At 41.4% G+C, this 11518-nt stretch overlaps 1 protein-coding gene across 26 annotated transcripts in view, besides 4 other annotated features; it reads left to right on the top strand.

The window, feature by feature from the left end:
* RNF38 (ring finger protein 38) overlaps window positions 1-11518 on the top strand; it is a 151270-nt gene that overhangs the window by 86278 nt on the left and 53474 nt on the right. For 2 of the 26 annotated variants that reach the window (XM_047422794.1, XM_011517712.3), the window contains exon 3: window positions 10776-10925. The exons of 5 other annotated variants lie outside the window; for them this stretch is intronic. In XM_047422794.1, the coding sequence (XP_047278750.1) occupies window positions 10776-10925 (150 nt within the window). Of the gene's footprint in view, window positions 1-185; window positions 295-420; window positions 839-956; window positions 1296-5904; window positions 5989-7777; window positions 7832-9222; window positions 9238-10775; window positions 10926-11518 lie in introns of those variants that run through there. 19 more of the 26 variants (XM_047422799.1, XM_047422805.1, NM_194330.3 and 16 more) reach the window with 19 other exon arrangements.
* Window positions 64-523: a silencer, noted in NCBI's record as "silent region_19893". NCBI's record gives its function as "represses an Ori minimal core promoter by ATAC-STARR-seq in GM12878 lymphoblastoid cells {active_cell/tissue: GM12878}" and the evidence as "EXISTENCE:reporter gene assay evidence [ECO:0000049][PMID:35858748]".
* Window positions 554-883: a silencer, noted in NCBI's record as "silent region_19892". NCBI's record gives its function as "represses an Ori minimal core promoter by ATAC-STARR-seq in GM12878 lymphoblastoid cells {active_cell/tissue: GM12878}" and the evidence as "EXISTENCE:reporter gene assay evidence [ECO:0000049][PMID:35858748]".
* Window positions 1094-1163: an enhancer, noted in NCBI's record as "active region_28350". NCBI's record gives its function as "activates an Ori minimal core promoter by ATAC-STARR-seq in GM12878 lymphoblastoid cells {active_cell/tissue: GM12878}" and the evidence as "EXISTENCE:reporter gene assay evidence [ECO:0000049][PMID:35858748]".
* Window positions 9128-9628: an enhancer, noted in NCBI's record as "H3K4me1 hESC enhancer chr9:36391761-36392261 (GRCh37/hg19 assembly coordinates)". NCBI's record gives its function as "activates a minimal SCP1, AML or CMV promoter by ChIP-STARR-seq in naive H9 embryonic stem cells {active_cell/tissue: H9 hESC(naive)}" and the evidence as "EXISTENCE:reporter gene assay evidence [ECO:0000049][PMID:30033119]".

Genomic DNA, 11518 nt, shown 5'->3' with positions numbered 1-11518 from the left:
GCACGGAACAGTAGCAACAATTTACTAAGAGAAAATCTATAGGAATTGGAACAGGGCCCTGCGGTCCGCAGGGCAGCGGGGGGCGGGCTGGGGCGGGGCTGCGCAGTGGTGCTGCGCGCGGAGCTCTGTTGCCGGAACTGGTCCGAGTCGTGCGCCGGGCCGCGCGCAGCCCCGCCCCGCCCCGCCCCGCCCCCTTCCCCCTCGGGGTGGAAACAAAGGGGGTTCGGCGCGCGGTGCGGAGCCTGGGGGAAAAGGGAGGAGCGCTCCGGTGGTCTGGCGCGCTGGGCTCGCTAGGTTTGTGCTGGCGAGGGGACGGGGTGGGACGGGCGACCCGGACCCAAGAAGTGGGAGGACCGCGCGTGTCGCGGCCTAGCGGCGAGGGGAGTCGCCTGCGCGCGCAGCGGAGGCCAGTGCGCCGGCGCATAGGGAGCCCGGGTCTGTGATCGCCGAGGCGGGGTGAGGCGGGGTGCGGCGGGGCGCGGCGGGGCGGGGAGGGGCGTGGCCGGGCCGGGCCCCTAGTGCGGTGTTGCGGGACGGGGCCGAGGCCCGGTCGGTTGGGGCGTGGGGGCGGAGAGGATGGAGCCTCCGAGGCGTTAGGCGACTCTGTCATCTCTGGGCGTGCAGCCGTCGTTTCCTGGCGCGGCCCGTGTGATGGTGCCGGGAGGAAGGAAGCGCAGTGACAGTGCCTAAGTTGGAGCCGGGGTTCCGGGGGTGAGGAGGCCCGCGGACGGCGGATCTGGCGAGCTGGCCGCGGGCTGGGCGAGCAGTCACAATAGGAGGCGGCGGCCCAGCGAGGATCCGCGGGAGCTGCCCGGCAGGGCGGAGCCTCCCCTCGCAGGTACTGGCCGCCGCGGCCGTTGGCTGCAGCGCGAGGGCGGGACGGGCTGCGGGCCGTTGAGAGCCTGCGGGGCCGCGCCCGAGTCTTGGGCTAAGGTTTGCCTCGGCCGCCCGGCGCTCTTTGTTCCCGCGGTGGCGAGGAGGCGCGGTCTCAGCTCGCGGAGCCGCCGGCCCGCTGCCCGGCAGATGGCCTCGCTCTCTCGCTCCCTCCCTTTTTGCCGAGACGCAGGTGAAATGATGTCACCCAGGAGAACGCGGAACCCGGTCGAAAGGGTCCTCTCTGGCGTCCTTCTGCTTCCGTGGGTTTCTGGATAGGCTGCGTTTTGTTCTCAGGGGATGCAAGTTCTTCCTTTCAGGGTTGAAGCGTGAGAGAGGTTGGTTTTTGAAACGGGAGTGTTTCAGGTTATTGAGGTCCAAAAAGAAATAAAGTTTTTGTTTACGTCTGTATGGCTTGTAAGGTAAAGTATTTTTCTTTGTGTTGCAAAAATGATATATGCTATTATTCAGTAAAAGTTGGGTATGCTAATTCTACCGTAAGTAGAAACACACACATGTAATTATTGCCACCATTATATGAATTGCCATTTCTTTTTTCTTAAGCGGTGGACTTAACGTATGAAAACTTAAATGTATACAAAGCTCATAATACAGTTGTTACCTTAGAGTTGCAAGTCTGCTGTATTCTGTTTGGCCTTGATTGCGAGTGTTGTTATACTTGAAAATTTACCGTAAATTTTTTTCAATAGCAAACAAACCTTGTATGTAGGCTTTAAAAAAAATTCCCTTTTATAGGGACAGTTGGAATCGAAGTAAAATTGTTCCTATCTTCAGGGAACACCGTCTAATGGAAGAAATAGAACTTTTGTAGAGATAATACGAAACCACATACATATAGATGTCAGATCAGGTGTGGGAAGCTGGGACACACTTGGAATAAAAAGATGAAATTTCTGACTGGAAGTTTACCTGGGAATTGTGTCACTTCAGATACTCCTTTCTCTGGGGTTTATAAATATATATTTATAATATATTTATTTATAATATGGTATTATATAATATATTATATATATTTATAATATGGTATATTTCACCTTTTGCAAACCTGCTAATCATACATTGTTCATTCAATTTTAAGTTGATTTTTATGATATTTCTGTAAGACTTATTTCTAAGAGATTTGAAGGCCTTAGCGCCTATAGTTGAATAAGTTCTGCCACAGACTCGTCATGTGGGCCTCAGGCTCTCATCTGTAAAATATAAAAAAAGTTGGACTTAAATAATCTGTGGGTTTTCCACCTCTGACTTCGTCTGTGATTCTAGAAGGTAGTTCGTATTTCCATACTTGTTGGGCTTTATATGCCCATCTTGTTTTTATAGTTAAATTGTCAAGTATTACTCTGGGTGAATATTGAGGAGAATTTTCTCTACTAAAATAACCTAATTTTTGATGAAGAGTAAACAAGATGGCATAGTCAGACATAACTGACTGTTAGCATCATAATGTAGAGTGTAGATCTGTTGTCTCTCTGCCAACAGCATTGGATGAGGCTTTTAATTCATGTTACATTCCTAGGCTGTTTCTGTTTGTGCTCACTTTCTTTTTTTGAGGCTGTGAGTGGAAAGTGTGGGTGAGAAATTCTTATGATAAAAGTTTCTGAAATGATTAGGTACTTGCTCAGTATGGAAAGATTATTGGTCAAGATTATGTCTTCTAGTTTATTCCACCTATTTCTCTGTACTACCTCTAGTTTGGTTTAGGCCACCACCATTTTGTAATTCATCTTGCTGGAAAGGTAGTTCTTAATTAGTCTTGATTGTTGCGTTGTGTTTGTTTTGGTTTTCCTGCTAAGAAAACATGTCAGACAGTTTTCACTTCCATTTTACTCTACTTAACTCACAGCCTTTTCTCTGGAAAGAGCGAACAGATTGTAAACATGGATTTGAACAGTATAGTTCTTGTCTAGTTCATCAGCAAACGTTAATTAATACGACGTTATCTAGAGGAGATAAAGCATTAATACTTGAACTCTATATAGTAAATTAATGAGAGAAATTTAGAATAAACAGATGAAGAAGAGGGGTCATGTACACAGTCTCTTCCCAACTCTTACATCTTTCATTAAAAAAATTTTTTTTTAATTTTAGTTTTTCCAGAAACGGGTTTTGCTATGTTGTCCCTTCTGGACTCGAACTTCTGGGCCCAGGTGATCCTCCTTTCTTGGCCTCCTGAGTAACTAGGACTACAGGTGTTTGCCATGGAGCCTGCCTGCCTTAGATCTTTCCCTTTGTTAAGGATCTGAACTTTTCACCTCTTCTATCTAGGTTATGGAGCCCTATTATCTTCTTGTAGTTCCTGTTATTAATTGTCCCTCACTAGACTGAGTTGCTTTAAGGGTAAGGACTGTTTCTTTTTCCCATTTTGTAGTCACAGCATCCAGCATATGGCAGGCAAGCAATAATTATTTGAATTATGATTGTTATTTAATAAAATTATAACTCAATCATACCTCTTTTTTCCAACTATTGTAAAACCCACAATTATTGTGTAAGTAATTATATGTGTGTGCGCCGTGTGTGTGTTTGGAGAGAGGGAGAGGGAGAGAGTGTATAAAATTTTTTATTGGTTTGGACTTTTGTGGTCTAGATATTTTTTCACATCTGTGTAATTCTTTGTGGTAACCAACCTAAGTAAAACGATTTTAGACATACTTCTTTGAGGGGAGAAAAATCTTTGTGTAGGCAAATTTAGATTTTGGAAGGGAAGGAAAGAAAAGTTTATTTAAAATATGTAACTCTTATTTTTCCTACCCTTTATTTCTGCATTCTCTGTGTAATGGATAGAGGATTTCTTTCGTTGCATCTGTTTTCTTTTCCCTTTTCCTTCTTTTTCATCACCTTATGGGATTGTGGACTGGGGAAAGGAAGTAGGGGAGCCTTAGGCTGTTTTCACACACCCTATTTCTGCTGTGCTCTCAGAAAGAGATGGGTCCTGTTTGTTTGCCTAACTCAAGAGTGGGAACCATAATTTCTGTTTAGAAATGATTGTCCGGTGCTGGGCAGTAATGAACATCCTCACCCACATAGTACCAGTCCTTGAATGGTTTCTCCTAATACTGCCTATTAGCTTTTCAAAATTATTTTTAAATTATTTTTTAGCTCACGCCTGTAATCCCAGCACTTTGGGAGGCCGAGGTTGGTGGATCACCTGAGGTCAGGAGTTTGAAACCAGCCTGAATAATATGATGAAATCCTGTCTCTACTAAAAATAAAAAAATTAGTCGGGTGTGGTGACCAGCACCTGTAATCCGCTACTCTGGAGGCTGAAGCAGGAGAATTGCTTGAACCCAGGAGGTGAAGACTGCAGTGAGTCAGGATTGTGCGAGTCAGGATTGCGCCACTGCACTCCACCCTGGGCAACAAGAGCAAAGCTCTGTCTCAAAAAAAAAAAAACAAAACATATATATATATATATACACACACACATATATATACGTATATATACATGTGTATATACGTATATACGTATATACACACACACACACATATATAAAGCAAATTGTGACCGTTGTGTAGTGAGAGAATGATTTTTTTTTTATTCCTTTCAGTCTTTTTCATGTGTCATTTGTGTATGAGAACTGTTGAAGCTTAGAGATGAATGACTTAGAAATTTTGTCTTGGATCTCAAAGGGTAGTAACATCTCAGAGGGTCAGTTCTACCCAGTGTTTGGACCTCAGTTTTCCAGAACCAGGCTCTCGATTTTTTTTTTTAAAGAAGCTTTATTAAGTTATGTTTTATATACCATAAAATTCACTCCATTCAATTAGATTTTTTTGGTTACATTTTGAACATTTCTGTCATCCCCCAAAGATCCCTGTGCCCATCCAGGCCTGCCTTTTGCATAACTCTAAGCGTGCACAGTCCCATTCCTGTTTGCAGTGTTCTCTCCTGGACCAGCTTTGAAGAATGCCATCCGGGACTTTGAGTACCCCTGCTCCACACTGTCAAAATCCTTTCAGAGAACTCTGCTCCCAGAAAACAAAAGCCAAGGAAACAGATTTGTTTTAGGCCCAGTGATAGAACTCTTCTCAAAGGAAAGGTGACATTTAGGTCTAGTTTATTCTCAGAACAGGGAAAAAAAAAAATCCTAGCAAGGAGCACAGCATGCATCAGTAGCTCAATGATTTATTCTGCCTCAGTAGGATGGGGTGGACTTACTGGGCAACCACTGACTTCATTTAATGGTAACCTGCAGGTGAGTGCATCAGATCTCTTCCTTGATCAAAGCTTTTAGCTTGTCTCATTGCCAACCAGATTTCTAAGAAACTTGTTACACAAATCAGAAAGGCAGGCTGTTACATCATTTGCTTACAGTTTGGAAGATTATTCTTTTAATAAATAGTTGAATGCCTGCTATGTGCCATGTACTCTTCTAGGTGTTAGTGACATTGTGCTGAACAGGACATGGAGCTTATACATGTTCTCCTGAGTGTATGCTCAAGTCACCTCATTGATTTGGCTGCTCTATTTAATCTTTATAGGGAGTTCTCTGTTTTTCTTCCTAATATTCCAAGATAACTTTTTTCTTGAATTTATGAAGTCCTGTTCATATATAACCCTACCTTATGATCATAGCATTTAAATAATTTTCTCCTCCCCCAAGTAGTAGTGTTTCTGGTTGCTACTTTTTAATGGCTGCATAGTTCAAGCAAGTGTACCGTAATTTTACTTAGCAAGTATTTGTTAAACATTTAGGTTGCTTCTAGTTACCTTTTAAATTGTCGCTATTATTGTGCTGTGGTGACCATATTCATGCATATGGCTTTTCTCGTATTTTGGTATATAACCTGATAATTTGTCAGTTTAAATATTAGAGATTCAAACATGTTTTTTAAATTATTAATCTACCTAATTACTTCCAAGAGATTAACAGTTGCTATCATGGAAGTGGTGAGAATATTTGGAGTTTTGGATTTGACTTTATTTTACAGATAACCAGACTTGTAGCTAGAGGTGACACTAAGCACCTGACTCCTCATCTAATGTTTTGTTTTCGTCTTTTATATTAGGCTGTGATTTTAGTGCTTTTGACCGACCAGTTGGTATGCTGAAGAATGCTTTGTGGGCCTTCGTGAACACCTTATTTTGTAGAAGTACGTTATGTCATACTGGCTTAGAAGTCATGTACCTGTATCCTCTCTCTCACTTTTACTGGAGAAAAAAAAAAAAGGAAATGAACGAAGAAGGATGCTGTTGTCAGAAGCAATTTTAAATGTTTTGGGACAGTGTCTTGTCCTAAGTGCTAATTTTAGTGCGATAATTACTAATAATACCTGCAAGTCTCCAAGAAAAGTTAAATTGTTGGTTATGTTACCAAAACACAGAATGGCCAGATTAAACAAAGGATGTCCTAAAATAGTAGTGTTGATGCTTAAAAGGTTAAACTGTTTTCTGTAAACTTTAGTTTTGTGAAATAGGGTTTTCTTAGTTATGCTTAATGAATTAGTCATATGATTATATGGAAATAGACATTAAACATGATAAGTTTTGGGAGTTGCAGACTTAATGTGGTCTCAGGATGTTTCCTTGGCAGGACTTTTTAAATACAGGTTGCATTCTGGGAGAAAGCCAGAGTTAGCAAATCTGTAATGCTGAAAAGTTGCCAGCCTAGAGAAAAATTATATCAGTTTTCAGGAAACAAGTTTATTTTTAAGTACTAAAAATGGTTTTAAATAGGCCTGGTGGAATAGTTGATACTTACTAATCAAACTAGATTATAAAAAAGAATGTTACTTTAAAGTAGAAGGTGGTTTTGTGGGTTGAGTATGAACCTTAGAATTCGATAGACTTGAGTTCAGATTATGGTTTTGATATTTCTGAGGTATGTGACTTTAAGCAAGTCTGTTAAACCTGATGTTCAGTGTATAAAGATGGGAGAGCCCAGTTCAGTTTCTGGCATGAAGCTAGCTGTTACCAGATTGAGGCTTTAAAACCTGCTATACTGCTTAAATAAAAATGTGTTAATTTTTATATCTTTTGTAATCAAATCAGTGTAGCCAAAATTCTGGAGAAGAAACTTTTTCACTGTGGTACAATAATTTTTATTCAAGTTATATACATACACATTGTGTTTTCTGTAACAAATTACTACAAATTTATTTGTTTAAAACACAAATATTTCCTTACAATTTCCATGAATCAGGAGTCCTGGTATGGGGTTAGCTGCTGGGCCCCCAGGGTCTTACCTTGCAGGAGCTGTGATTTCTTTCTTTTCTTTTTTTTTTTGAGACAGTCTTGCTCTGTCGCCAGGCTGGAGTGCAGTGGCACGATCTTGGCTCACTGCAACCTCCACCTCCCGGATTCAAGTGATTCTCCTGCCTCAGCCTCCCAAGTAGCTGGGACTACAGGTGTGCGCCACCACGCCCAGCTAATTTTTGTATTTTTAGTAGAGATGGGGTTTCATCATGTTGGCCAGGTTGGTCTCTATCTCTTGACCTTGTGATCTGCCCGCCTCGGCCTCCCAAAGTGCTGGGATTACAGGCGTGAGCCACTGTACCCGGCCCAGAGCTGTGATTTCATCCGTGTCTCCTTCCAAGTTCACTGGTAGAATGTGGTTCTTGTGATTATAGGACTGAGGTCCCCCATTTCTTGCTGGTCGTCAACTGGTGACTGCTTTCAGCTCCTAGAAGCTGCCCTCAAGCCCCTGCCACATGGTACCTTTCGCATGCCTTCTCACAACATCTTAGTCTGAAGAATTGGCAAGAGAATCTCTTGGGAAGGACTCAGTTCTGCTTTCTCTGATTAAGTCATGCCCAGGCTCACCCAGGATAATCTGTCTTTAGCTTGAATTCACCTTACTTGGAATCTTCATTACATCTGAACGTCTTTCCTCCTTTGTCATATGATTTAACCTAATAATGGGAATGAAATACATCACATTCACAGCCCTGCCTGCGCACATGGGGAAGGGGGTTGTACAGGAGATGGACACCAGAGGTAATCTTGGGCAACCTATGTATGGGACTGCCTGCCCCACACACACACACACACACACACACACACACACACACACACACACAATGTGTGTGTGTGATTTTATTTTACCTAGTAGTAAAAATTGTACCTCATTTTAATCAAGCCCATCTATGGTTTTGTCCCAGACTTATTTTGAATATAGCTTTTCTCCATTATATTGGTCCATCCTTTTTAAGACAAATGGAGCCTCTGATCAAAGGAAACTGTTGTGAGTAGGAGAGGATATGCTTGAAAATTATGGCCACAGGGACCAGGTTGGCCAGTTTTTCATTTGTCTATGACCAAGATCTTAAGATTTCAAAGGAACAAGGAATGAAGGAGAAGAAACATAACCTTGATTTGTCTTTTCCCAGCCAGCTACTTGTACTAGCAATTTTGTAAGACTGCTTTGGGCATGATAGTTGAAGGCAGGATGGCCTTAGGATAACACGCTACAAAGGATACATAATGAGCAAATGAAAAGCTTAAGAGGATGCAAAAAGATTCCTACATAAAGAAGCAAACCATTTTGAGAGAGTGGCAAAAGCCCTCCTTAGATTGAGTCAGGAATGTGAAATACTCCTTTTTCTATGAAATCTTAACTCTTACCTTCACATTAATTCAGAACTCTTACTCCTAATTTTTCCCTGTTTTATGGCCTTTAAATATTATGTTACAGTTGGCTGCTTGCATCTGGGTTTCAAAAATTGTTAGAATAAGCTTCTTGAGGTTAGGGCCCATGTTTTTATATCTTATTAGATTAACAAATACTTATTTTTAGAAATTGTCTCACCATGTTGACCAGGCTGGAGTATAGTATTGCAGTCATAGCTCACTGTAACCTCAAACTACTGGGCTCGAGTGAAGCTCCTGCCTTAGCCTCCTGAGTAGCTAAGACTACAGGAGTGTGCCACCATGCCACACTAATTTAATTTTTTTAATTTTTATTTATTTACTTATTTTTTTGAGTAGAGATGGGGTTTTCTCTATGTTGTCCAGGCTAGTCTTGAGCTCCTGTACTCAAGCTCTTCTCTCACCAGGGCCTCCCAAAGGGTTGAGATTACAAGTGTGAGCCACTGCATTTGGCCTGTCTCTATATTCCTAATGTAATTCTTGGCTTGTAGGAGTCAGTCAGTAAATACGCCTTGATTCAGCAATGCATACTTCTGCGTAATGGTAAAGGATAGCACATTCATGTTTGTAGTATAGAGATCAGAACATTCTGTACAGAAAACTAATGAATTCTAAAGTTTCTGCTTTCAAGTGCTTTGTTTTTTACTTCTAGGTGAGTCTTTGGAAGTATTTTTACTCTTACCAGTGGGCACAGTTATCTGTTTACCAGGTCCATAGCAAAGCAGAAACAAAATACTATAAAAAGGCTAAGGAAGGTAAGGGTATTAATATATTAACAGCAGGGATATTAATAGCATTTCATTTTATGATCGGTTTCTGGCTGCTTCCTTACTATCTAGCCATACTAAACGTTTTGCAGTTTCCTGACTACACTGCTGTCTCTTGGCAGCTACTTCTCCATAGCACCTAGTGCCTAGCGTTACCATAATACTTACATCCTGCAGTGATTTACTTTTGTTTCTTTCTTATAGCATATACTTTTTGAAAGTAGGAAACGGGCCGGGCGCAGTGGCTCACGCCTGTAATCCCAGCACTTCGGGAGGCCGAGGCGGACGGATCACGAGGTCAGGAGATCGAGACCATCCTGGCTAACACAGTGAAACCCCGTCTCTACTAAAAATACAAAAAATTAGCCAGGCGGGGTGGCGGGCGCCTGTAGTCCCAGCTACTCTGCAGGCTGAGGCAGGAGAATGGCGTGAACCCCAGTGGGTGGAGCCTGCAGTGAGCCGAGATGGCACCACTGCACTCCAGCCTGGGCGACAGCGAGACTCCATCTCAAAAAAAAAAAAAAAAAAAAGTAGGAAACGATGCCTTTGTTTTTGGTTTAATGCCTGTCACCAAATAGATGCTTAAATGTAGGATTGAGTGAATGAATGAGGCAATGAAACTCTAAAAAGAAGACCATGTTAAAGTATGTAACTTTTAGTGTAGGTACAAGAAGGGACCACGAGCCTTAACCCCCCAAGAAGAATTCACTGTCACAGCACAGTGGAACACATTATGTTCATGATTTTTTTTTTAATGTTACAGAGTAAGTATATTTACATATGAATTTAAGAGGATTAACCCATAATCAAGTCAAACATTTATTTTTGTTTTTTAATTTTTGTAGATAACTGGGGCGATCCTCCCACCTTGGCATACCAAAGTGCTGGGATTACAGGTGTGACCACTGCATTGGCCAAATCAAGCATTGGAAATGTGGCAGTCATTTACTTTTGTGCTTATGATTGTGTCCTTTATTCCTTAGGAAGGTCTTTAGGTTTGTGTTGAATAGAGCTGAGATTTCTGCAGTCAAACATATGTTTGCTATAGAAAATTTGCCACAAATATTGTTAAATCTGTCATTTTCCTTTGCATGATTATTTGGAAGGTTAACTAAAAAACAGAATGAGAAAAAGTATTAATCTTGGTCCAGGCAAACACTTAACCTTTCTGTACTTAAGATATGTAATTTTACCTTGGGTTTTCTTAGCATGAAGTCTGTCCTTTAGGATTTCGGAATTAACACCAGCAGAAAAAGTTACCAATAGGTATTTGGGAAACAGGAAGGACGTGGTGTTCTTGGGCTGTGCTGTTTTGCCTCCAACAGTTTTTGTAAGAGAGATCCATTGCCAGAGGCAACCTTTGCCATCTTTATGTTTTGATGTTTAAAATTAATTTTTAATTTCTTTCCTGTCTTCGCTAGCAGAATCATCAAATACCTAGAAAATCCAGACTATCCTTCATAGGCGTGATTCTCCACATTGGTGCAGCTAGCCATGAACTATCCTTTTCTTCCTCTTTTTCCCAGATATCTCCCGGGGCCAATTCAGCATCTCTACCTGGCCATCCTAACAAGGTGATTTGTGAAAGGGTGAGACTTCAGAGCCTGTTCCCTCTCCTCCCAAGTGATCAGAACACTACCGTTCAAGAGGATGCTCACTTCAAAGCTTTCTTCCAGGTTCTTATATATTTACCCTTTCCCTACATAGGGCTGAAAGTCACATTCTACAGTGTTTCTAGGAAGGCTTGAAACAAAATGCCCAATATCGTCTCCTTGTTTTCTGTTGTATGTGGAAATAAGTATTCTTCTTAGAGGACTTTAATATTTTTTCAGCCAGCTTTTCTGACTAATGTTTGTCTTCTTGAGCTACTCAGCTACTGTTAATTATTTGACTACTTAATATTCTTGTGTTTTGATCTTTTGGTCTTAAATCACTTGTCCTAATAGGTCAAGTTCTGTAGGAAAGTAGAAGATAGTGTAGAATATATGAAGTTGTGTAGGAAAGGAAAAATGAAAGCATGTAAGATGTTCACTAGTTACTTGCTTGGCACCCAGAGTTCGATAGTAACATACATTTCTGAGAGAAAACATGGTTACTTGTCTTCTTTTACCTGTGGGTAAACGTGAGTTAAAAATTTTTTTTTAAATATAAAATGAAAACTCGAAAGTAAGGTGTGTAAATGGATTGAAACTCATTAGGTTATTAACAAGATTACTGGAATCTGCCCATAGAAATCATTGGCTACCAAACTTTCAATCCATATTCCTAG

The sequence above is a fragment of the Homo sapiens genome, chromosome 9 (assembly GCF_000001405.40).
Source record: "Homo sapiens chromosome 9, GRCh38.p14 Primary Assembly".
NCBI classification, from domain to species: Eukaryota; Metazoa; Chordata; class Mammalia; order Primates; family Hominidae; genus Homo; species Homo sapiens.
Note: the sequence above shows the minus strand (reverse complement) of the source record. Positions and strands in the feature narration are given on the sequence as shown.